We start from the raw sequence: 25,598 nt of genomic DNA, 5'->3' as shown, positions 1-25,598 counted from the left end.
TTCCCAAAACCATGGCACACACGTTGTGTGCCTGGACAGACAACTCCACTGTGGCAATTTTGTTCACAGTGCAGTAGGCCCCGGGAAGCACCATGGCCAGGCACATCGAGTCTTCAGTGTCAAGATCTGCCTTACGTTTTAACTTGTTTTTTTGTTTTGTTTTGTTTTTTCTTTTTTATAAAAATCGGGCAGCAGGCTGGGCCAAACATAGTTCAGAATACTCCCAAAATGTTAAGCTTTAAGAAAAGGTGACTTCAGCAATGTCAGACACGTATCATGACACATTTGTCAAGACCCACAGGATGTGCGCCACAAAGAGTGAGCCCTAATGATGTGAACCAAGGCCTCTAGTTAATCATGTATCAGAGTCGTTCCATCGATCGGAACAAACAGACCACACCACACGGAGGCAACGTGTGAATGACAGGGGAGATGGTGGGGACGGGATCTGGGAATTCTCTGTACTTTCCCACCAATGTTTCTGTAAACTGAAAACTACACAGAAAAAAAGTTTATTCATTTAAAAAATGTGTTGAATGAATGGCTTTTAAAATCTGTTCAGAGTCTACTTAAGGTGAGGAGGCGTCATAGAAAGGTAGCCTGTGACAGCTGAGGTCCCACCAACGCAGCAAGCTAGGTGATAGGGCAGCCAGGGGCTGGGCCAGGAGGACAGGGCCAAGGTCTGTTTGAAAACACCATCTCTGGGGACCGTTTCCTGGATTAGGCACAGGTGGAGACAGGAAGCCAGGGGGAGACCATGGGACACCCCCACAAAGCCACCCAGGAAACAGAAAGGCCATGAGAGAGATGTGGGGGCACCAGGGCAGGCAGAAGCCACAGACCACAGGTACCAGCCCCAGGGGGGTGGCTCATGCCTGTCATCCCAGCGCTTTGGGAGGCTGAGGCAGGTGGATCGCCTGAGGTCAGGAGTTCGAGACCAGCCTGACCAACATGATGAAACCCCGTCTCTACTAAAAACTAGCTCAGCGTGGTGGTATGTGCCTATGGTCTCAGCTACTCGGGAGGCTGAGACAGGAGAATCGCTTGAACGTGGGAGGCAGAGATTACAGTGAGCCAAGATTGCGCCACTACCCTCCAGCCTGGACAACAGAACAAGACTCTGTCTCAAAAAAAAAAAAAAAAAAAAAAAACAGGTCCCGGGAGACACCTGACTCCAGCTGCCTGCCCCACTGCAGGTCTTCAGGGGCTCCCAAGACTGCCGCCTGTCCTCAGGCCTCTCAGGGATCTCTCCAACCCACCCCTGCCATCTGGGCCACCCCTGCTGCCTCTGCCTCTCTATTCCTAGTCATGTCTCCAGCCAGGATGTCCAAGACCCGGCCAGGGCACTGGGGACACTTCTTGCCTCCAAATCTTCCTAAAATCTCCTTCCCTGGCCTTGCCCTTCATAAACCCTGTTCTGCCATAACTGGTTAATTTGATAACCAAGAAACAACAAGTCTTAAAATAAGTGTTAGTGAAGCAATGATCAGTGCATGGGTGACTGAGGGGCCGACTTCGGTTACCTAAAGGCTGCCAGACCACCCATTATCTACTGACCACCACTCGAGACCGTTTCCCACCCTCCCTCCGAGACTGTGCGTGGCTGGGGTGGCCTCTCACCATCGCCACGTCCTAAGGTGGCAACGAGACTCAGGCCAAGAACACACAGCGCGACCAAAGGCACTGCCATTTCCCGCAGGAATCAGAGGCGGGTGCTTTGTTTGGCTGTTTTTGTTTTGTTCTTTTTTGTGTTTTTAATAGGAGCGGAGAAATCAGAAGCAGGAAGGAGCATCTGGGTTTTTTCCTGCTTCTGCTCCAGGGACCCCATGAAACCTCAGAGTCCCTGACCGTCCTTAATTAACTCTTGTGTGCAGACCGCAGGCTGCTCTGCTACAGAGAAGCCCCAGCAAATTCGTGCCTTGGTTTAAAAGCTGCGTGTGCCAGCTCTGGGCTTGCTGTGATGTGTTAATAACGCAGTGCTGGGCTAGAATCTTAACAAATGTCAGAAAAGCTGCAGAGATGAGTCACTGTCTGGAACCAAAGAAAAACACGAGGCCTCCTTATAGAGTCCAGAGGAGTAATTGTCACAAGCATTTGATGGAAGACCTCATAAGTGCGTGCAGTGAGCTCATGACCCACGCAGAAAGCATTGGTGAACACTCCAAAAACATCTTCCACAGCTTAATGGGATTAGAAAACTCTAGCTCTGCATCTTAGGATTTTAAAAGTTCCTCTTTTCTGGAGGCAAACAGCACCTAACTGATCTGGCATGTCTTTGGTATAAACAACTTATGGCTGTTTCAAACACAAAAGGACCTAAAAGGATGACTTTTATTAAAATGTTGATCTCAAGAAATAGAGCCCGTCGTTACACAAATAATCAGTCTTGCCTCAGATCTCGTACTTCCTACCTGTTGAGTAAACACCACCCCCTTACAACTTCCCCTGACAAATGCAAGCTCTTTGCAGAGCTAATTTCCTGTACCTTTGTGAGGCCGGGGCCCTGGACATTACAGACCCATTTATGAAAATAGGAGAGGTAATTGGGACATCTTTTGAAATCATGTCCCCTCTCTCTCGCAGGCCCCCATCAGCCCTCTAATTTTACTTGGTCAGGTTACAGAGGATGTTTACATACGCCTCTTCCTGGAATTTCACCTCTTTGCTTCAGGAGTGGGCAATTAGAGAGAATTAGGGCCTATTTGGTGCCTGTTTACCGTTAATGGATGGAGTGGCGGAGGCAGCCTTGGGAAAGCAGTCTGCCCGTCTAATTGAAGCTGGCAATTTTTCGATTCCTCATTTCAGCTCGCAGGTATTGTAGCAACCAAGGTCACAAAACAAAAGCTGCAGCCCACCACGGTAATAACCAGGTGCAGGCCCAGCCGGAGGTTTTGTGAGCTGTTCATTACTACACACTGCAGCACACAGAGATAGCTGGGAATGTTGGCAAAGCTGAGTCTAAGATGGGCAGCCAGTGCAGGCGGGTGATGATCACTTTTCCAGAAGTTGTCATCCTGTTGGCTTTTTCAGGAAGTTCTCAGCCGACTGGGCCACCGTGCCAACAGAGGCGCTGGCGAGGGTCTCAGGACCCAAAAGGCACAAGGTGAGCCACGGGGGTTGGGGGAACGAACATCTCCTGGTTCTGAAGCCACAAGTCCAGTCTCATTAAACAAGAGTCACTCTACAGACCAAAAAGGTGTTCCAGACCAGACCAGCAGCCTGCCTGTTTGGAATAATGCCCCATAAAACACGATCCCTGCATCCCAGCTCATGGGGCAGCCCCTTGGAACCTTCTTTGGGCAAGAGCTCTGACCCACACTAATGACCGGTGACTGTGACCCCCCCCGACCACACAGGTCACACAGGAGCTGGCAACTGGCAGGGGCTTCACCTCCAGGGCCTGCTGCCGGCTCACCGTGCAACCTCGGGCAAGGCTCCGGGCCTCTGGGATCGCTGGTTTCCCCACCTCTAAAGCAGAGGGGGCAGCGGACCAGTGACCCCCAAAGTCCCAACAACTCCAAAGACCCAGCAAACAAACGACAGATGACCTCCAGGGAGGCCTGAAGAAACCCCGAGCCACTCGGACGACCATGGGCCTGCACTCGCCCATTTCGTAGACGGGAAAACTGAGGCCTAAGGGGCTGGAGACAGGGGCCAAGGTCACACCCATAGTCAGGGCTGAGCACAGGCTCTAACCAGGTCTCTGGAAGACTGCTGACCTCTCTGAGGCTCAGAAGCCAGCAGCAGCAAAGTCAGTGACCAGCCAAGACTGAGACCTGTGCCCCCCTCCTGTCACGGCAGGGACTTTGTCCCTGGTGCCTCTGGAGTGGCCCTACCCTTACGGCAGTCTGGGGCAGTGGTGGTGCAAACAGCTTCGCTCTAACCTGAAGCGTCCCCTCTCTCGCAGCTGCCCACCATCCCTGCGGGCCACCATGACCCCCTCCTCTCCTGGCTAACTGTGAAACAACAGCCCTGTGGATTTCTGAGCCCCCTACCGCCAACTTCCTGAGTAGGGAATCACTCTATGTCCACTGCCAGGAAGGCCCAGAGAAAGGGCTGGGGTGGCAGAAGGAGCAGCCCAGCTGTGAGCGCGGAGGCCGGCGCAGACATGCGGTCAGCCTTTGGCCCCCGACTGTCCTCCTTCCCCAACTTTCCATCCTGGACCTCTCTCCCCGCAGCCCCATTCTGTCTCTTTGGCTATATTTCAGGCATCAGGCCCAGGTTGATCAAATTTTTGTTTACAGGCTCAATCACTCTGATTCCCCTTTGCTAAGAAACTTTCAAAATCAAGCCCTAGAATCTAAGAGCGTGAGCATCCCAGGGTCGCGCGAACCCAGTGGCTGGTTAAGTGCGTCATTGTGCAGCCTTGGAGCTCCCGACACACACACAAGGGCAAGGGGCCCCACACAACCCCTGGGAGGGAACACACACACACTCCGTTTCAGGGGAAGGTAATTGACGTTTTCTTCTTTTCATCTGGAAAAAAAGGCACCTTCCATTGAAAGGGCGCATTCACAGAACCTGGGAAAACTCATCTGCGCTCAGCCCTCCCAATTATCCCCAGGTGGCTGTTCCCCACGGGGGGCTCCCCCACATTCCTCTCGGCCTGAGCCTTTGTTTCCATCTGAAACAGCCCTGGGAGCTCCCAGGCTAAGAGTCTCCTCCTTAAGCCCCTGCCAAAGACCCTATTCACTGCTCAGAGTCGAGGCAAGCCGAAGGTGGTGGGCAGCCTTCCTTTCTCCCAGGATAGGGGACTTAAGAACTCTCCATCTGGATTTATTTTTAAGCTCAAAGAAATTGGAGAGCAGTTAAGAAAGTCATGGCTACACCCTTCACCACCATCCTCTCCCTTAATGAACTCCTCTCTCACACACAGTCCCTCATGTTGGGAGGCCCACGGCGGCCCCAGTGACCCAGCACCTGCTCTGTACACGGGCCGCCCACGATCGCCAAGGGCTCAGGGGTGACGCGAGCTGAGAGGACAGACAGAGATATGTCCCAAGTCCTCATCACAGTTTATCCTGAGTAAAGTGACCAGTTTTCCATGGTGAGGATCAGGGCCCAGGCCCTGGCCTCAGGACCTGACTCAAACCCAGAAGGCCCTAGAATTCCAGACCTACGGGCCTCTCAGGCACCGCAGAGCTCGTCTTGGCAAAGATAAGGGGTCTCTCCATGTCTGCTGGATCCGGCTGGAGCTGGAACCCCTCTTCTGGCAGAGTGCCCTCCTGCTGCAGTGTCTGCAGGGCTCCTGGGACAGGAGGTGGGAGGGGAGGGTCTGCACGCCCTCATCAGCCCCGAGGGCCCCCCACACTCCCACCTTTCCTGGCTCTGAAACACTGACCCAATCCATGCCAAGGAGGCAAGCCTGTTCTGTGGCTCCCCTTTCCTTAGACTCCCCCAAGAACCTGTGGGCAGCCCAGGTGTGGGACTGCCCTGTCTGAATGGGGCTCCATACGAGACCCTCTCCTACCCCAGATTCATCCTTCCCCTTTCCAGACCAGGAACCCCACATCTGAGGCCTCGTTTCAAAAGGTACACCTCTTTTCTAGACTCTTCCATCTGCTCAAATCGGGGATGGGAGACGAAGCTAGACCTCCTTATTCCTCCTTTGGAAGAGGGGACAGGGCTCAGAGAAACAGCAGGGAGGGGGAACCAGTCCTTGGGACACTTCACAACTCATTAATTCCAGTCTCCTAAAAAGAAGCCACTCCCAGCGACCCAGGGCTTTTCCACTGCAGCTCACAATGCTGGCTTCCGCATTGTCCACTGCCCTTTAACCCTTTGGGACCTGAATCTGTCTCCCTCCACACCCCCTTCTGTAGGAAGCTCCCTTCCTCTTTGCAAGGAAAAATTCATTAGCAAGTTCATTAAAGATGGGTAGATTTTCCTTTTCATTCTTTTTGGAAGTCAGATTGCTCATAAAAAACACACTTAAGTTATTTTATGTAAATGAATGAATAAGAAACACATGCATCCTGTTGCCCTTAAGTCTTGCCAGGTTTTGACATTATTTGGAGAAATGTACTTGGAAATTCATTTGGGGTTTGAATCACAACTCAGGAGGCATGAGGTCAGGGGCCCTGAAAGCAGCAATGAGCAACTCGCAGGTGAGAGAATGTGGGGGCGAGTGAGCGAATGAGGGGTCATGTTCTTCCTTTCCACGAGCTCAGGCCTGAGCTACCCTCTTGGTTTCCTTTCCCAACCACCCAGGGCGGGCAGGTGCGAGAGGAGAGCCAGTTTCCAGACCAGACCGCCGTCTTTACCCTGACACTTGCACCCACCCAGAAGAGTCCCACTAGAGGCAGCCCCCTAGGAATCAGCACGATGACAAATGGCCAGAGACCCCTCACCGCCCTCCGCTGATGTGACAGGGTCCTCTGTGGCTCACTGCCTAGTCAGTCAGGGTCTCATCTCCACCCGCTATGGCTCAGGCATTGGCCAATCCATCAAAATAGAATTTTCCTGAAAATGATCATGTCTTTCAGCACTTACTAGTGGCCTTTCGGCAGTTCCCGAGAAGATCACCAGCAAGGCTGACGTAGTAAGTCACGTTTCAACTTCTTTCATTGAGAACGTGGCATATTTTACCTATTTTATACCTAATGACACACAAAACCCCAAATATGTGTTTGCCTGAGACCGAAACACTCATGAGTACCTGAAATACAACTCAGTGCAAAGAGGGTTCCATTTCAACCCCTGAGAGCCAGGGGCTGCCAAAGCTTGGTCCTATCTGGGCCTCTCCTGTGTGCCCCTGGCCTTCACTTTGACTTTGTCCCTGGGCTTAGTCCACCTTGGGAAAGTCCTGAGATGTCCGTGAGAAACCAGTCCAAGAGCTGAGGGCATCTGGCTCAGACCAGTTACTCGAATGCATTCTAGTAAGCTTGGGACAGGATCCCCCCAGGACCCCAGCAGCCTGCCCCTGTGCAAACCTCCCCTCCCGGGCCTCTTCTCCACATCACTGTGTTTGCAGGTGGCTCAGCAAATGCTAGCCTTGGAGTAAATGTCACGGGGCAGAGCCTTCCTGGGCCCCCTCCCTGGGTTTAGCCCTGGGCACACACTCCCCTCCCCGTCTCTCCAGGCTCTGGGGCTCTCCAGAGAGCAGAAACAAGCAGACAAAGGCAACAGCCCCAGGTTAGAGCGCCTCTGCCCCCTCTGCCTACGCTGCCAGATTTTGTTTAAAAATAATATCCCCATCCCATTTCAATTTCAGGGGAGAAGTGCAGGGCTGCAGGAGAGCTGTCTCCAAATCCTCTGTTTGATTAAAGAGCATTACGAGGCTGCGTCGGAAACCAGAGACACTCCGGGGGTGGGGGGTGGCGGAGGGCGGAGGCCTGCACAAGGGCTGATGCGTGCACATGGCTGAGGACTAGAGGCTGGGCCCCACCCAGCGTGCAGCTGTGTTCATCCACTTCCTTCTCAGAGACCCCATTCGTGGGCGTCCAGAGGGGAGTATTGGCATCTGGGCCAAGGACAGTGCTAGGGCCCCCTCAAGCCTCCATAAATGTCTGGGGGAATGGAGCCAGCCTCACCCCACGGTTCAGACCTTTCTCAGCGCCCACCCAGCTTCTCTGGGAAGTCTAACTGCACTCATTCACCACAATGGCCACCCCAGGGGCGTCATATATGAGGGGTGCCAGGATCCTGACACTGCCTCCCAGGGCAGTGGCTCTAAAAACACCCCATCGCCCTGAGTGAGCCACAGACTCAGTCCCTGGGACCCCCAGAAAGGAAAGTGGCCTCAGCTGAGCCTCCTCTCTTCCTGCCAGCCCAAACTTCAGCCTGGCATGGCCGTCCAGCATGCCACCCTGAGCCCCCGCCCTCGACGACACCTCGCCTGGCTGCTGTGCAAGCCACCTTGCTGCATGGGTGCTCCACGGCACCCAAGTAGACCCTCTGGTCCTTAGTGCAAAGCCCAGCCTTAGGCGCCCCAGAACAACCCCAGGCCCGAGCCCTGGACGGCTCCCGGCTGCATCTTGAATTAGTAAAACACAAATAAACAAATGATGGGTCCTCGAGTGAATTGTGTGGCTCCAATCCCGCTTTCTTCTTCTCTACCATTGCTGTTTTATTTAAACAAACAAAAACATTCCCGTCTCATTGCAATTTCAGGGGTGAGGAAAGGAGGAAAGAGAAGAACTTGCTCAAAAACCACTATTTGATTAAAGGACATTATCAAAGCCTCATGTGTGAGAAACCACGGTTCTCACAGGGGGTGACGCTACCATGGCTGGTGGAAAGAAATGTCTTCCTAGCTGAGGAGCAGGCAAGCATTCCCATTTCCTCCTCTCCGAAGGGGTCCCTGGGCCGGGTGTGGGCAGGGCAAGTGCCCCCTGGATCCCTTTTGCAATGTGTTCAGCAAAGCCGTACTGAGGGCTCCTGAGTGCCTGGCCCGAGCCGCTCTCGGGGGTCTAGAGTGGAGGTGGACACTCCCCACCTACCGTCGCCGGCCCACAGCATGCCATCAGCCAGGGTGGACCCCCACACATGCTTGCTGGGTATAGCAAGGGTCTCCACTCCAGGCAGCTCTCCGGCCCCCAGACCCCTGGGGCTGATGTGAAGAGAATTCACCTTGGCAGGGTGCCTCCTCCCCAAATTAAATGTTGACACTCTTGTTGATCAGAGAGGAGAGACATGAGCTGACCCTAATAAAATCCTGGGTCTCAAGAAAGCAAGAAACTCACCCCAAACCAGGAAGGAGACGAGAGGCCCGCCAGGAAGAAGACTTGGGTCCGGGATGGTGGGCCCCATCAGGGCCTCTTCCGCAGCTTCCATCCGCAGTTCTTCAGCCGACCCAGCCGGGCCACGGCCCACGTGCCTTGGGGAAGGGCAGAGAGTTAGAATCATGGCAAGGCAAGCGCCCCGGAAAAGCCAAACACACCGAAGAAAGACTCGGGGCACGGCCTCACCTGCAGTTTACTTTTCGGTGGAGTGGGGTGACTACTGGGGGATGCCCAATGACAGGAAAAGGTGCAAAGCAGCAACGGGCTGGGTTAGGGGCAGCCCCAAATCCAGAACTGAGTGGGGAGCAAGGGACCGGGCGGGGCAGAGCCCAGGACTCTCAGGGCCACGGCGGAGGCAAAGGCAGGCGGGGGCAACACCCACCAGGGCACGATCACGAGGGGTCTCTGGGATGGGACAGGAGTCTGTCCATAGCCCTGAGGCCAGGCCCACAGGAGGAGGCACTGGAGGATGCTTGGCAGGAGATGGAGACACCAGCAGGGGCTTGTCGGGGGCACTGGGAACCTGCTGGAAACAGGCAGCTGGAGTGGGAGTGGCTCCTGGGGCAGGGGAGTGGTACTCAGACCACAGGAGGGCCAGGTGACCACAGGTATGGGCTTGGCAGGGAGAACCAGCCTGCTAGGCAGAGGGCTGTGGAGCTGAGCCCTGGAGCCCAGGGACTGAGGCAGAGAAGGGGAGGTTGGTCAGGCCCACCTCAGGAGACAGAGCAAAGCGGAGTGCCGGGTGGGTGAGGAAGCTGGCCGCTGGAGAGCCACCAGGGAGAGCAAGCCAGCAGCCGGGCAGAAGCAGAGCCTGCAGATGCTCCCTGGAGGTTTCCCCTGCTGGTCCTCGGCATGGGAGGTGGGCCCCAGCAGCTGCTAGAGAGTGAAGGAGCTGGACCAAGCCCCGGGGGAGGAAGGCATCACGGCAAGGGAAGGGTCGCAGTCACAACCACACCTCGAGAGGGAGACCTGTGGCCAAAGCCCGGGGGGGCACACACTACAGCTGTTCCCGTGCCCACTTTGGTCCTGAGAGACTCAGGGCCAGGGGTCCAGAACAGTTCAGCATCAGGAATGGGGCGGGGAAGGCAGAGAGGGAGAAGGGGCTGGCTCCGACCAGAGCAGAGCCCTGGGGATAGCTTGAATCTGCCCTCACACCCTCCGGCCTACCTCTATGGAGCCACAGTCCACTGCTCCAGCCCCTGGGCAACCCCCCGGCCCGCCCTCCTGGGGACACAGAGGCCATCAAGGGATGGGCTACGGTGGCCGGTGCCCAGGCCAGACCAGGGCCGTGGGCGTGCTCAGTTAGGATCAACTGTTGGATGACGGGATGGCCGCGCGGGTGAATGCAGGGACGCGACCAGCAAGGCCCCCGTTCAAATGGGGCAGGGGTCGGAAGCTGCTCACACACCTCTCAAAAATGAATTCCACCCTCCAGCCTTTGCACCTAGAACTCTTCGCATGGCCCAGCTAGTGGCTCAGCTGTGGTGGTCGAGTCCTTTCATTCACTCACCTGGCGAAACCAACATCCCACATACTCTAACTGAGCCCCACTCTGTGCCAGGCTGGTGCTGGGACACCCTGAGGAGACACGGGGCTGGTCAAGGGCACCCCGGGATGGCCAGGTCAGGAACTGGGGAGGGACAAAGAGAGGGAGATATTGAGAGAGAGGAAGACGAGGAAGAAGGCAACAGAAGCAGAAAAAGCAGGGACTCAAGGAGCCAGGTTAAAGGGCTGCCCCTACACTCAAGGGAGCAACGAGACCCCTCTGCCGGTGCCTCAGAAAAGTCCAGAAACCCAAGCAGGATGGGGACGTGGGGAGTTAACTTTTGAAAGTTTTTAGGGCTCCAGGAGCCTTGGGCACAAAACCCCAGAGAACCTGCCGGGGGCCAGCTGATTTCTTCCACGCCCTCTCCGGGCTTTCCAATGTCCACAGGAGCTACTGCAGCACTAACAGTGGCTTTGGGGCCTGTATGTGAATGACTGCCATGTGTTTGAGGGTGAGGAGAGTGCCATGGATTCTTCATTACTATTGAAAGTCTTCTCATTTAGAAACATCAGGCGTGCTCTATTTTTCTACTCTCCAACAGCTACATGGCGGGGAGGCCAGGTTTTCGTGTGATCTCAGCTTCAGAGGTCTACACCCGAGTCCACCCATAGTCAGAGTGGCCAACTACATCACCGTCACTGGGAAAGTCTCGCCTTGGCAAAAGGGGATGAAAGATTGCCTCAGGCTTTTGCCCCAACCGGCCAATGGGAGATCCTTCCACATTCTTCCTCGTGGGGTGCTGGGGTAGAGTTGGTTTTGCTAACTTGGAAACAGTATCCGATTCTAATTCACGAAGCCAGAGAACCTTTAGCCAACAGACTCACTAAGGGAGGAAGGTCCCGTAAGGTTTCAACTAATAACATTTTCTTGCTCCAACTACCTCCCTTATCCCCTAGTTTTTTTTTCCATTTGGCTGAAGGTCTGACTGGAGCCTAAAGTTTAATTGGAGTGATTTAATCATGATTGATCCGCCTTGGGGTGAGAAATGTCCAGAGCTTGGGACAAATAAGGGCATGTTTCAGACTCGGGACATACCTGCTCTAAAGAATTATGGGCTCTAGGGAGCTCAAAGATCAGAACAAAAAGAGGAGGAGGGTTCAGGCAGGGTACAGGACATGTGGGTGAAGATATTAAGGGGCAAAAGAAGAACTACTATAGGGCTGGGCATGGTGGCTCACGCCTGTAATCCCAGCACTTTGGGAGGCTAAGGCAGGTGGATCATGAGGTCAGGAGTTCAAGACCAGCCTGACCAACATGGTGAAACCCCGTCTCTCCTAAAAATACAAAAAGTAGCCGGCTGTGGTGGTGGGCGCCTGTAATCCCAGCTACTCAGGAGGCTGAGGTGGGAGAATTGCTTGAACCCGGAAGGCAGAGGTTGCAGTGAGCCGAGATCACGCCACTGCACTCCAGCCTGGGCGACAGAGCGAGACTCCATTTCAAAAAAAAGAACTACAAGTTCTGATTCCGGACTCCCAGATGTGAGTTTTAATCTCCTCTCCACTGATTGATCCTGACTAATCACTAGCCCCCTGTGCCCAATTTCAACAGTATGCTGGAGTCAAATCTGAACCCCAAACTATGCCCTCTTAAGGGGGGTCCCTCTGGGATGCCAACATGCATTCACTTCTTCACCTGGCTAGGCATTCCATGAGTATTCACATTGTAGTCACTCCCCTAGGGCTATGCCCAGGAGTTAGTACTTTCCTACCACTTGGTGATCTTGAGTGAGTTTTGGATGTCCTCAATGGGTCCTGAGATGAGTCAGAGGAGAGCTAGAGTTGGGAACTGATCACCAGTGGCCCCCCCAGTCCTCAGCTCTTGAAGAAAGGGAATGAATGCTCTGGCCATTTGCATCTGTGCGAAGGATCGAACAAAGCCACTTTCTACAATGCAACCCTGTCCGACGCCCCCCTTCCCAAAGCTGCCTGCAACTTTCAACCCCGCTGAATGGACTTCGCACTGGGACAGAGGCAAAGACTTAAATGAGAAGCCAAAGAAATGTCGGCTCCATCACCAAAATTAGAAGTGTGGCTTAAGAAGCCACATCGCCCCGGCCCGGCGGTGGCCAGTTCACCTCATTATGATAATCAGTGTGTTTTTCCTTCGCAGACAAAGAAGGATCCTTATGCGACGAATACTGGAATCCAGCAGCTAACCTCATTAACGTCTGCAGCCTCTTCCTTCGACAAGGCCCGAGATTAGCCCTGTGTTCATTAAGGGAAAAGGGCGGAAAGTGGAATAAAACTGAAAAACACCGCCAGGGTAAGGGGGAGGGGAGGCCCTTTTCTGTTAGCCATTCATTCACTGAAATACTTCGTGTACCTTCAGGATTTAATCACCAGCAAAGGGGGCGGTAGGGAGGGGGCAGGGTTTACCAGGATGTGGGAGGTAAAGAGGTTAAACTCGATGGAAGGAGTTAAAAACCCAGAATAGGGTGATTTGATGTGAAAGCTTCCTGGGATTTGTCACTGGGATAATCAATTTAAAACCTTCTTCCCATTTGCTTTCTTTTAGCCCAACTAACGTAAGGGGAAACCGTCTTTGGATGTGTTTTTGGTGGCTTTTAATATTTTCTAAGTCTCCCTTTCCTACTTTTTTTTTGTCTTTAATGTCTTTGTTTAGTTATTCTCTTCTCCTGTCTCTCCTGCACGCTCCTCCCTTTCCACTTCTTTCTTCTCTCTTCGGTCCTCCCCGTGGGAACCTAATGTATACGAAAATCTAGTGGTGCCTCCAGTTGTATTTTCCCATGAATGCTTTATTGACTTTGCTTCAAGCCTTTCAAATGGCATCTGGTGCTTACCTGTGAGACATCCCACCTGACCTGCCAGATAAAGACGATTAACCCTATTTTGAAACTGAGATAAACCTGGCTTGGAAAAGTTTACCTACCCCAAGGTCTCAGCACTAAGTAATTTAACTAGGACTCGAACCCAGGCAGCGACTCCTGACTGCTTAAGACGGCATGGTAAGAAGCAGGTCCAGAAGTCGAGAGACCTGGGTGTGCAAGTTCCTAGGGGATGCTAAGAACGAGAGAAGGGGGAGCAAGTGTCTCTGTGAAGGGAGTGTAAAGACACAGAAGTGAACCGGAGACGCAGAGCCCTGTGAGAGAAGGCATGAAAATGTGTCCTTGTGTCCATGAGCCGAAAACATGACAAGGATTAAGCCACAGAAAAGTCTTTACCTTTGTGAGCGTGCTTCCACGGAGTAGAGCGAGTCAGGAAGCAGTGGGTTGAAGAGGAAATTGGAGGTGAGGAAGGAAGACAGCAAGTGTAGACAGGCCTTTCAAGAAGCTTGGCTGTGAAAGGAAAGACAGAGACTGTAGTGGCTAGAAAAGATGACAGCAGGGACCTGGGAGGCTCCAGGCTGCCGGCACAGCAAAGTCAGAAATGCAGAGGGAGGCCTTCTGGAGGTGGCCGGGACTGAGACAGGTACAATTCTTCCTCTAGAACTCAGGGAACAGGGGTTCAATGATCCAGTGGGGCCCAATCTGTGGAGCCTCTTGACAGCCTCTGTTTCCCTGGGAGTGGCAGTGGCCGGTCCTGGCTCAGGACAGGGAGTTGTGAGGATCAAATGAATGGACGGTTGCAAAAAGTGACAGAAACATTCACTACCATTACTCACTGGGAGCAGGACTCTCGATTTTACAGCCCACTCGAATCTCACTGGGGCCTGGATTTTCACTGACCATAAATTATTCGTCCTGAACATTAAGGATGTAAAAACCACTGGTAAAAGCTCCTGCCAGTCTCTGGAAGACAAAAGGTCCCCTCCTAATAGCCTGGATTAACTCAAAGCAGGTCTCCGCCCACTTCATTTGTCACCGTCCAAGTCATCCTTGCACCTCCATTTGCCACATAATCCAATCAGCCCCTTTCAGAGGCTGGGCAGCTATTGTCTACACTGAGCTGGGCTTCTCTAAAGCAGCCCAAGTTGTTTTTGTCTTGTCCGGACAAAACTGGTTGGCTTAAAACGGGACGAAAGAAATTCCTGGTCAAATGAGGACCCCAATTAGGTTCCAAGAGACTGTTTTCATTATCTTTGTATCAGATACCTAGCCTGGTGCACTGGGCAGATTGTCGGTGCCCCAGAAAATGTTTGTTGAATTAATTCATTTTTATTTATTCTGGAATTTCTTAATTGAACACAAACACACACAGCACCTACTGAGTGCTGTTCTCACTAAGGGAGAATTGGGCTGGACATGTGAGCAAGGAGGGACAGCCTCGGGTGCTTGAGTAGCTCACACTTTCCACAGCAATTTACAAAGCACTTTCATAGTAGTTACAGCATTTGGTCTTCAAAAGCGCCCTGTGGGGTAGATACACGAGGGGGTGTGTGTGTGTGTGTGTGTGTGTGTGTGTGTGTGTGTGTTTTAATCTCCATTTAGACCATGAAAGAAACTGAAACTTAGAGTAGTTAAGCGACTTGTTTAAGGTCACACTGTTATTAAAAGGTGAAGCCAGCACATGGTACCAGCACTGGGGCCACCCAGACCCCCAAGACCACCCCAGGCAGCTGGGATTTCAAACAGACTGTCCCATTGTCAAACATTTGGTTTGAAATAAAAGGACTCTTAGTATAACTCTGGGCCAGAGGGGAAGAAGGGGTGAGGGCAGCTAGCGTGGCACCCTGGGTCCAACTCCAACCCCTTCTGTTGCCAGCAATGTGACCAAATACTTACACCTCCCAGCAAGTTTCTGTTTCTTTAATGTAAATGTAAGCCCTACCCCATGGGACAGAGAGTTCAGTCCTCACGGGTCCTCTCTCCCTTTCAGCTTCTTTAAATTACAAAAATCAACACTACCAAATGCATCCTCACCTGGAAATGAGGCTGCCTCGTTTACATACACATATTACATAAAAATCACATGTTCATATCACATAGAAAGTGCTCTGGAAATGGCCACATGCATAATTCGTGTTCTTACTCAAGTCAGCCCGTCGATGGTCTCTGCAAAGCCCCTACCTGATGCAAGGAGAGCCCGTGGACAAGGGCTGCCTGGAGTGCTGTTGGAGAATAAATAAGACAAGTAAGACAAGCAAGAGGGGTGGGAAGGGACTGACCTGTCAAACCTTTTCAACAAACATTTGCTGATCACCTCCTCTATGCCAGATCCTGCCTGAGGCCTCTTTTATCTCATTTAATTCTCACAACAACCCTAGGAGGTTGCTCTCATCGACCCCATTCCCCCAGAAAAGGATAGGAAGATCTTCAGAGAGGTCGGGCGTGCCTTTGGTGATTCAGTAGCATGCTCATTCCAGAAGCCCACCCAGGGCCTTGGAGTTGCCAGCAGGATGCTGGCCAAGCCCTTGGCCCAGGTCCCCCTCCTGAGAATTTCCCAAAGGGATCCTTCCATTCAGGACATCATAAGGGTGATGACAGAGTCAGTCGACAAAGACTGACACCCCCTTGGGGAGGGAAACACTCCAGTTTGCTAGCAGGTGAACACAAGCAAAGACTTATAGGAAAGTACTCATAGAGTCAAAGTATGAGCATAGCAAAGGTCAGGGCTTAATGCCCAATGCCCCCTCACTAGGGCATTGGTTTAAGTCTTTAGGTAAGAGGGACAGCTGGCTGGTCAGTTCCGGTCCTCTTCATCCTTTGCCATCCTGGTCCTGGGGGTCAGTGAGTGGCTGCTTTGTATGTTGGTGGGATCCAGGAAACCGTGCTCCTAGTGCCCTCTGCAATTGATCAAAGGTTAGAGAACCTGCTTAAAAGCCCAAGCCTAGATCATAATTACAGTTTAAGTTCATTAATTACAATTAAAGCTGATTAGTTAAAATTTAAAATTGTCTTTTAATTGCTAGTGGGTCTGGGGGTGGTGCAAGGATGGTGGTGGGGTTGGGAGATTCTGCCCGCCACGTTGGTTATGAAATGATAGCAGGAGGGTTGAAGTACCGTGAGGTGTAGATGGGCAGCAGGCCCCTTGGCAGCAGCTCAGCATGGAGAGGAGGTGGTCCTTGAAGACAAGGAGGTGGACGGATGATGTCATCCCTGAGGAGAGACCCTATGGCATGGGAGGGGGGCAGGTTAGAAACCATCTTCGTGACCTCTAACGGCCAGCACCGGAACAGCAGAGAGCAAAAGGGGGCAGGCAGAGGGAAAGGCAGGGAGGAGTGGCAAAGGGGAGGACTGAGGAAGGCAGTAGGGAGGGGCTGGGAGGGAAGAGGGAGGGGTATGGAGGGAGGAAGGAGGGGGGCAGGGAGAGGGGAGGAGAGAAGGGGAGGGGAAAAGAGAGATGAGGAAAATGAGGGGGGAAGAGGGAGGAGGGAAGAGGAAAGAGGGAGGAGGGAGAAGAAAAATAGGAGGGGGAGGAGGGACGAGGAAATGAGAAAGGGTGGAGGGAGAGGAGAAATGGGAGGTGGAGGAGAGGAGTGGGAGGGGGTAAGGATGATTTGACTGACAGGTCACAAGTGTTAGCTGTGTGCGTGTGCGCAACTCAAAACCCAAGGTAGCGGGGCTGGCACACACCGCTAGGGGGCGCGCGGCCCGCACCCGTAACCCAGGAGTGCAGCAGCCACCTGCGGCGCCCCGGCCCGCGCCCGGCGGGCCTGGATGGACAGGGGGTGCCCAACAGGTCTCAGGCTAGGAAGGGCTCCACAGCCCACCCCAGGCCACCGCGCCAGGTCGCTACGCCCCCTGGACGCCTCTCCAGCCACCACCAGCCAGAGCCCACCTGTGGCTGCGGCGCAGCGCCTCCCGCCCGCACCAGGCGCCTCCTGCGCCCCCAGCCACCGGGCCCCAGCCCCAGAGGAAGGTGGGCCACCCAGCGGACCTGCGCCAGGCCCCTCTGGAGCGCCGCTCCGCCTGCTACAGGGAAAAGCAGAAATCCCGACTCCCACCTTCGTCAATCCAATTAAACACACGTTCACTAAAGTCAGAAAGACCCAGTCCTCCAGGCACCGCTGTCACGCATGTGGGTGGTCTCGGAACGAGAGACAGAACCTGTGACATCGCTGGAAAGTAACGCAAAGGGGGCCACCACGCCGCTCCCCGCCTTCGCCCCCAGGCATCAACATCACGCCTCCAAAGTCGTGCCTCCCTCCTTCGCCACAACAACAATTTCTAGCCCCCGCACGATGGCCCCTCACTGACCTTGTCACAGCCTCTCTCTCCATCCTGCTCAAATGAGCCACACCTTCCTAAGACCCCCGAAACCAAAAACCACTGGAAATCAACTAACGTGCCTCTGTGCGCCTCCACAACACCCGAAGCCACGGCGCAAAGGCCGACCCCGGCCTCTGCGGCCACTCCGCAGTGAATCCGGGGGGTCTCAAAACTGTTCCCTCTTGGGTAAACGAATCCAGGATCCTCCAGTAGATCCCGCGCCCGACCCCCTCCATCAGGAGAACAAAGGCCACCTCCCCTCCCCACCCCGCCCCCCAAAATTCCGCAGTGCCGCCAGCGCCCTCTCGCGGCCAGCCAGGAAACCTTCCAGAAACCTGCCACGTAGCCACCCGCCTGCGCCCCCACCAGGCCCGCCGGCCCAGGGTGGGAGGGGGCGGCCTGGGGGGGCTTGACTCTGACAAAGGAAATGGCAAAAGGCGATTTGACCAAAAGTCCAAGACTGCAACATGTCAGGATTTTCGAGCGACCACCACGCAACGCTCTGAAGACCCCCGCGGCACCCCATCCCCAGCTCCCAGCGTCCAGACCCCAGCAACACACCCCCTTTTCTGCATTTCTCTCCTCCCTCTTCCCAGACCCAAGGACACGGCCTTCTCTCCTCCCCAACCCACCCCCTGCATCTATTCTCCCAGTGCCCCCAATCCCACGACCCCCCTTCGGCAAGGACTGATCCTAGGGGGCTACTGGCAGGTTTGCACTTGGGCGCCATCTCTCTCCACTGTGAAAGTGGCTGATCAGGGCAGAACCAGATGATATCGGGTAGAAATTTTACTCCACATTTTGCCTGGGGTCCACACTGCACTAAACCTGTGTATTTGGATTCGGAAAACCTCGCGAAGAGGAACCTCCACTCCTCCCGCCCACGATCCACCAAAAACCTGGCCAACAGCTGGCGAGGCAAATATGCCCGGGAGACCCTTCTATTCGGGTGCTTCCCCCCCTAATTCATGGGGCACGCAGAAGGCATCGCCGCCATATCTCCCACTATTAACGCGATTCTAGAGGCGGCTTCTAATACAGGAAATCCGGGGTTCGCCCCCCAGTGACTGCCGTATACCCGAATCCAAGAGGAGTTCCATCTGATTCCTCCCGCTCCTCTGAACTGAAGTCCCTACCACCCAGCCCACCCTTAAGGACTGGACCCTCCAGAGAGGAGCCCTGACTTCCCCCCAGGGAAATGTGCCTCAAGATTTTCTTTCTGACAAATTTTGTTGCGGACGCTCGGGGACCAGGCGAAGTGGCCGCCTCCAGCAGCAGGACCCAGGATCAGGCAGGCTCTCGGCATGTCCAGGAGGACAGAGCCCATCCCAGAAGCGGATGCCGTCTTCCTTTTGCACATCCTTTGCGGCAAGGATGGCCAACCACTCACCGGGTGAGGGATCCTCTCGTGGGCGCCCCAGCTCTCCTGAGGAGCCGCCGCCAAGGCCAGCGAGCCAAGGCGCGCTCCCTCTCTGCTCTCCGCCGTCTGCGCTAGGGGCTGGCTGGGTGGGGTTTATATGGAGGCGCAGAAGGGGTGGTCTCTGACGTCAGCGCATTCTGCTGCAATGCGCTCATTTCTCTAAAAGTGATTGGCCGGAAAAATGAGCCCCCCAGATTCTATGACAAATTGCTCTAGCCGCACCCAGATTGCAGCAAAGAAGGGAGGAAAAAATTCTGCCGCAGTGCCCCTGGCCGCCATGACCAACACCCTGTGGTCGCGGGTGCTTTTTCCCTGCGTGAGCCCGGCTCGCCAGGCAGGGTGAATTCAGGCACAATGTGTGGGGGGAATCGCCCCGATGGCTGGCCGTCCTCAGGCGGCCGATGGCCAAGGTGGGGCTGTCGGGGCGCAGATCCCACACCTGGCGGTTTCGGAACATCCATCGGAGGATGCGGGCTTAGCGAAAGAAAATCATGCTTTCTCTTATTGTTCAGGAAAATAAAATGCCCGGGCGACATAACTGGTTCCCAGATGTAAGCCAGAGGCTGTCACCCCCTCCCAGCCCACCCGTGCGTTTCTGACTGGTTCTCTTTGACATGGGAGACAGAGCTCCGCGTCTCCGAGTCAGAAAACCCTGGCTGTGGAGTCCCGGGCTCTGCCGCTTACAACTCATGTTCGCGGAACCCGCTATGCCCCTTCCTCTTCCACTGGGTCCGCTTCCTCCACCTTAACCAGGGGTACCCCCCACCACACACACCAGGGTTGTAATAAGAATCCAGACAGGAGCCGTGCCCTCTAAGGAAAGTACTTTTAGAGGGCGGACTGTGTCCCATGTGGAGATGCCTGAGCTACCCCTCAAAGTTGGGGTGATCCCCACACACATGCCCTTTGAAAGAGCCCCAGCGCCCCGAAAAACAGGCAGCGACACATGTTGCGCCGAGCCCTGCCGCGGCCTCGGCTCCGGAGCTGGCACATGGGAGTTAATCCCTAACAGGTGGGAGCCCTCGGCAGCTCTGCCCGGCTCTGAGTGGCAGAGCGTGCAGGGCCGTCAATCAAATGTCCTCTCGCAAAGGTCAAAATGCTGTTGAAAGGGACCGAGGATCTATCTTAGGGTGACAGGTGGGTGGCAGCCAGGAGGACAAGGATGGAGTGCTCGGTGACAGAAAGCAGGTGAGGATGAGCAAGGGGCCCCAAAGAGGACAGCAGAGAGGCCCCGCCGAGGGCATCAAGTCAGAATCGCTCCCCCGCACTTCTTTGGGGGGTTTAAGCGGCGTCAGAGGGAGCCCCCCATGCCCAACGATCCCACAAGGTGACTGTAAAGCAGACGGGAGATTCCAGGGCTGAAAAGAAGGGAGAAAGGCTATTTCTACGTCCACAGCTAATGACTAGGGAGGTGAACATTGACCGTCAGGTCACTAGAGGCGCCGAGCCTTGGGACGGCGTGTGGGGGGCTCGTTTTTTCATAAACAGGCGCACTGTTGGGGAGATAGAGACGTGGGACGTTGGGGTCCTCATGGGGCGCTGCTTTAATATGTCAGGTAACACGAAGGAGAAAGAAAACACCCCCTTTACAGCCTGTGGAGCTTGCCAGGAGCCCCAGGGACTAGAGCCCCGGAAGCAGGCCTTGCACAGCAGAAACGCCCGCACCAGCCACAGACGTCAAGAACGCTTCAAAAAATCATGGCTCCGAGCACCCGCGTCAACAGGAGAACGTTTATTAGCCACAGTATTAATAGCTAGGAAACAGCCAGAGCTGGCCGGGGCCAATCAGCAACCAGGAGCCCCTGTCGTCAGGCCCCCACGGCCAATCAGACGCCGGCAGGCCCGGTTGCTAGCCTCTCGGGGGCAGAGGCGAGGGGCACGCATTGACAAGGGGCTCGCATTCACCCGCCGCGCGTGGGAACTGTGGTGGCCGCCAGAGAGCATCCGCAGCCACGCACCCGGGGGCCCGGGAGGCTGTCGTAGACACAGTGCCAGCCCGCGTCAGCCCTGCAGCCCCACAAGGGCATGAGTTGACGTTCCGGTGGGAGCCCCAGGCCTCAGGTGGGATGCTCCTGGAGCCCCTAGAAGGAGAAACTTCCAGACACCTAATGTCCAGTCTCTCCTGTCAGGGCCTGGCGCCCCTGCGGGAAGTTGAGCCTCCCAGTGAGAAGCCAGCCTCTGCCCTATTCTGGGCCCCCTGGCTCTTGAGCCTGCTCCTTCGAGGTTCACAGTAAACCCCACTCTCCTATTTCAGGGCCTTACTGACAGCCCAAGGAAAAAGACCGTGGAAATTACGGGTTTCCTACAAAGCACCACGGGTTTGAATCCCGGCTCTGCTCCCTCCGCGCTGGGAGGCTGAGGTCCAGGCCCTCCCTCTCTGTGGGCCCCTACTTCCTCATCTGGAAAAAGGAAAGACTTGGACAAGATGGTCCCTAAGGAGCCTTCCAGTCCTACTTTGCTTGATTTGAATGTATACATCAGGCGAGTCAAATGTCTTCCAGAACATTCTGCATGACAGTAATTAGTATCAGGTGTATCCTGCAGTCCATGTGGTTACTTCATCATGCTGCTTTTCTTTCCATTGTATTTTATTTTAAACAGAACTCCATGGCAACATGTTTACCCTTCTGGCTTCCTAAAAGAAAGAAAGAAAATGATGAGGGGGGGGAGCAGGAATGCGAGGCAAAGAGAGAAAGAAAAGACTGCTGCAAACTAATCTCCACTGAACATGGTTTAACCACAATTTAAAAAAAAAATCCATATGTTTAAATGTTTTTGTTGGCTTTTCTGGAGCTCAGAACCTAACTTTTTAAATATTTATTGGTCCAAAGCAATGGAAGAAATTCTTGAAGGAGCCAAACCTATAGTAATATTTGGATCTGAACTATTTCTCAATCTGAGCAATGCTATACATGCCTTCCTCCCTCAAAAAGGCCATTCAAGGGCTCAGATTTGTATCTATAGGGGAAAACAGACAAGGAAATCCAGGTTTGAGAAATGGAGCACTTTCTCTCTGTGCATGCTGAAACCCAACTCTCCTGAAATCCTGGAGGCGAGCCAGTGTCCCAGACGCATGGCTTAGCTTGCTGCCTTTTTTTTTTTTTTCTCAGATCTAACTCAAAGCACACATTTTTCTTCTTTTTTTAATTCATACTTGAGAACCCTCAAAAGCCATGTGAGCAGCCTCCTATCCACATGTACATACTTATGGGCAAGGGGACAAACCTCCTAAGAGCCAGCCAGGAAATGAAGACAAGGTCCTCCTATACCCATCTCCCAGGCATGGGCAAATATACTCTCTTCTCAAAAAGCATACTCTGAACTTTTACAAACAGCAAACCCCAAGTGCCTACCCCTCTAAGCCGACGTCCCAGTTTTCCCCGTACCCTTGAAATTTAGCATGCACCAGAGATCTCTTGAGTTCCTCTTCTGCACTCCCCCCAGGGGGCTGCCGGGATAGGGAGGCTGCTTTGACTTCTTCCTATATAAGCTGCCACTGCAGTCCCAATCCCCAGCTCTAGTGCCAGCCTCTGGCCCTTCAAGCCTCTGAACATCACTGAACCCCCTCCCATTCTGCCATAGACCTCAGCTCAAGTCAGAGAAGCAGTTGAGCGCATGGGCGGTCTTCCATGGGGCTGAGTTTTTCCTTCTCGTGGGACAAGGGGAAGCCTGTCATTGTCAAATACAATGTCTGCCTCCCATAAGAGGTGAGGCTTGACATCAAGTAGTCAAGGATTTGGAGGAAATGATCAAACACACCAGGCCTATCTTCTGGGATCTTGAAATTGACAGCAGCTCTTCTAGAAAACACACCGACCCCAGCTCCCAGTGCCGGGAACACTCTGCTCCCCTTAAAACCAGAGTTCTGGGCACAGCCCCAACCTTGCATGGAAGAGTTTGCCAAATTGTAGATACTAAAAGACAAATAAAGTTCAACGCCTTTCACAGACGGCCAAGGATGAAGTTTAATTCCAGGTAGACTGCTGGGTTTCAAGGCAGCGCATCTGTATATTTGAGTTAGCTAGACTTCCAGCCATTCCCCGTTGACTAACAGTAACCCAAGAGTAAATGTTCAACCACAGAGTTGCCCTTTTCCTCATCAGCCTCTGGAGGAGCGTGGTATGTGGACAGGCAGGGGACATTGCTCTTTGGGACTACTTTTTATAATAACTAGTGCCAATGAAAAAGAGCTGGAGGGTAATGCCCCCAAATGGTACCATTAGTTGTGCTGGATGGATAGATTCTGAGTGAATTTTCTTCTTCCTTTCTACTTTTATGAATTCCTTTACTGGCATGTATTCCTCTTATAGTGTGTGTGTGTTTGTGTGTTTTAATGCTGCAGTCCAAAGCCAGGCACAGTGGCACATGCCTATAGTCGTAGCTACTCAGAAGGCTGAAGCGGGGAGGATCACTTGAGCCTAGGAGTTCAAGGCCAGCCTGGGTGACATAATAAGACCCCAACTGTTAAAAAAAAAAATTCGTTTTAATGTAACGGTACAAGAAAAGTGACCATTTTAGCCTCTTCTTTATTGACCTCAATTTAAAAATCTTTTCCTGTTAAGTAAATAAAAATCAAGAGACCCAGGATTCATGTCCTGCATAGCATAAGTCCCCATTCCTGGACAGAGGCATTCATGCATGAGTGATAGCTGTGGGGTGGGCACAGAGGTGGGTGCCAGTGGCAGTCACCTAGCTGCGCCCAATCTTTGGAAGGACTCTCCTGAACCTGCCACAGAGGTGAACAAATTCCAAGCTGGTAAAAGCAAAAAAAGTGCACTTCAATGATTTCATTCCTACTGGGGGGACCTAGAGAAATCCATTTCCGAGAAGACCAAGCAGGCCAAGAACGGGGTCTTGGTGAAGCAGACCACTGCCATGGGTTGGATTTTAGAAGTCACATCCTGACACTAGGAAAAGACAGCCACATTGCCCACCCCACCCCCACCCGGGGCCCCCTGGCTTTGGGTGTGGGCCAGCCCCAGATTCAAGCAAGGGGTTTTCTTGGCCCCACTCCATGGAAATATTTCCTTCGGTGGAGCAAAGAACTGCTCCATTCAACTGCCTGCGGCTAGGGAGGGGGTGGCTTTTGCTGTGTTGACAGAGAACTGCAGAGGCCTGGGGAGGGGCCCCAGAGGAGAAACTGTGTTCCAGGTAGAACAGGACTGGAAAGTTTGCTCTTTTTTTCTTTTTTTTTAACTAAAAGATTGCTGACAGTTGAAAAACTCCCACCCCACCCAAGAGGCTCCTAGAGGAGGCATTTGTACTAGGTTTCAACAAGGACTAGAAACTTCTTAAGTCTTAATGTCAAAGGGAAGGGGGCCGAGGCTGGGCACACTTTCAATTTAAACATTGAGGGTCTGGATGGTTCCAGAGCACACAGTTGGCCTCCCTGAGCCAAGCCTGGTGATACCTCTGTCTCAGAGCTAACCCAGAAGCCACCAGCTCCTGGGGGAGCCAAGGGTGCGTAGGAGACGCACTGTGATTAGGGGCCCGTGCACATAGAGGCAGCGGTCAGAGGTTCCAGAGGGCACACAATCTTCCCTCGTTGAGCTTAAGTTTGCTGATGTCCATGTCGCAGCCCACGCCCAGAGGAGGGTACCAGCAAAGGTAGGAATCTCCTTGAACTTTCTTCAAAAAGCCCAAATCCATGTGACTCTTGCTTCGTAGAGCTGCTCAGAAGCTCATGAGGGCTCGGGGGAAAGTGACAATCCCTGGGAGATAGGATGATGAGTTCCACCTACCACGGCAGTCTACCACCACTGCCACCGCTGCCTGCCACCGCTGCCTACCACCACTGCCTACCACCACTGCTGCCACCACTGCCACTGCTGCCACCACTGCCACTGCTGCCTACCACCACTGCCTGCCACCGCTGCCTACCACTGCTGCCTGGCACCGCTGCCTACCACCACTGCCTACCACTGCTGCCTTCCACCGCTGCCTGGCACCACTGCCTACCACCGCTGCCCTCCACTGCTGCCTGCCACCGCTGCCTACCACTGCCTGCCACCACTGCCACCGCTGCCTATCACCGCTGCCTGCCACCACTGCTGCCACCGCTGCCTGCCACCGCTGCCTGCCACTGCTGCCCTCCACTGCTGCCACCACTGCTGCCTACCACTGCCTGCCACCAATGCCACCGCTGCCTATCACCGCTGCCTGCCACCACTGCCTACCGCATCAGTCTACTACCGCTGCCTGCCACCGCTGCCTGCCACCGCTGCCTGCCACCGCTGTCTGACGCTGAAAGGAGATGAGAATCAAACAGAGGGCAGCACATGGCAGTGCAGGGTGAGTGCCACTCCATGCAGTGGCCTGTGCTGCCCAGAGTCTACCGAGCCACACGTTGTGCACCTGGCGGGATGGCTGACCACCCCATAAACACAATGTCACAAATGCTGATTGCAGCCTTTCTTTCAAACCATTGAGTGCAGCTTGCAGGGTGACCGGCAGTCTTGCCTGGTGATTGAAGGTTTGGGCCCCAACATCAGACTGCAGGTGCTAGTCCACTTGCTACCTGTGTGGTCTTGGGTTGGTTGCTTAACCTCTCTGAACCTCATTGTCATGATCTGTACAATGGGGACAAAATACCTTCTTCAGTTGAGAAGATTAAATTGGGGAAAAATGTGTGCTGTACTTATGGCAGGCCCTAGCCATATGACATGGAGTGAGGATGAAGAGACCTTCTTGTCTTCCATGTAGTTTGCATTTATTTTGTAAGAAGAAAAATTTTATTTTGTAATTTCGTAAAAGTTAACCTGGCTGGGCACAGTGGCTCATGCCTGTAATCCCAGCACTTTG

General features: G+C 53.8%; 1 long non-coding RNA gene across 19 annotated transcripts in view, besides 4 other annotated features; it reads right to left on the bottom strand.

Annotated features, from left to right (window-relative positions):
- The window catches only part of MEG3 (maternally expressed 3), a 34,919-nt gene extending 16,042 nt beyond the window's left edge, over window positions 1–18,877 (bottom strand). For 2 of the 19 annotated variants that reach the window (NR_002766.2, NR_046473.1), the window contains exons 1-5: window positions 18,768–18,877; window positions 16,169–16,277; window positions 15,236–15,951; window positions 13,451–13,564; window positions 8,685–8,818 (exon numbers count right to left, since the gene is read on the bottom strand). This is a non-coding gene — a long non-coding RNA (maternally expressed 3). Of the gene's footprint in view, window positions 1–8,684; window positions 8,819–8,909; window positions 8,944–9,105; window positions 9,250–10,233; window positions 10,354–12,343; window positions 12,474–13,450; window positions 13,565–13,890; window positions 13,970–15,197; window positions 15,952–16,168; window positions 16,278–18,767 lie in introns of all 19 variants that reach the window. The other 17 variants (NR_190993.1, NR_003530.2, NR_190995.1 and 14 more) reach the window with 17 other exon arrangements.
- Window positions 4,146–4,905: an enhancer, noted in NCBI's record as "H3K27ac-H3K4me1 hESC enhancer chr14:101306417-101307176 (GRCh37/hg19 assembly coordinates)". NCBI's record gives its function as "activates a minimal SCP1, AML or CMV promoter by ChIP-STARR-seq in primed H9 embryonic stem cells {active_cell/tissue: H9 hESC(primed)}" and the evidence as "EXISTENCE:reporter gene assay evidence [ECO:0000049][PMID:30033119]".
- Window positions 4,906–5,667: an enhancer, noted in NCBI's record as "H3K27ac-H3K4me1 hESC enhancer chr14:101305655-101306416 (GRCh37/hg19 assembly coordinates)". NCBI's record gives its function as "activates a minimal SCP1, AML or CMV promoter by ChIP-STARR-seq in naive and primed H9 embryonic stem cells {active_cell/tissue: H9 hESC(naive and primed)}" and the evidence as "EXISTENCE:reporter gene assay evidence [ECO:0000049][PMID:30033119]".
- Window positions 13,831–14,332: an enhancer, noted in NCBI's record as "NANOG hESC enhancer chr14:101296990-101297491 (GRCh37/hg19 assembly coordinates)". NCBI's record gives its function as "activates a minimal SCP1, AML or CMV promoter by ChIP-STARR-seq in naive H9 embryonic stem cells {active_cell/tissue: H9 hESC(naive)}" and the evidence as "EXISTENCE:reporter gene assay evidence [ECO:0000049][PMID:30033119]".
- Window positions 20,567–21,267: an enhancer, noted in NCBI's record as "H3K27ac-H3K4me1 hESC enhancer chr14:101290055-101290755 (GRCh37/hg19 assembly coordinates)". NCBI's record gives its function as "activates a minimal SCP1, AML or CMV promoter by ChIP-STARR-seq in primed H9 embryonic stem cells {active_cell/tissue: H9 hESC(primed)}" and the evidence as "EXISTENCE:reporter gene assay evidence [ECO:0000049][PMID:30033119]".

This window comes from Homo sapiens, chromosome 14, assembly GCF_000001405.40.
Source record: "Homo sapiens chromosome 14, GRCh38.p14 Primary Assembly".
Classification (NCBI taxonomy): domain Eukaryota; kingdom Metazoa; phylum Chordata; class Mammalia; order Primates; family Hominidae; genus Homo; species Homo sapiens.
Note: the sequence above shows the minus strand (reverse complement) of the source record. Positions and strands in the feature narration are given on the sequence as shown.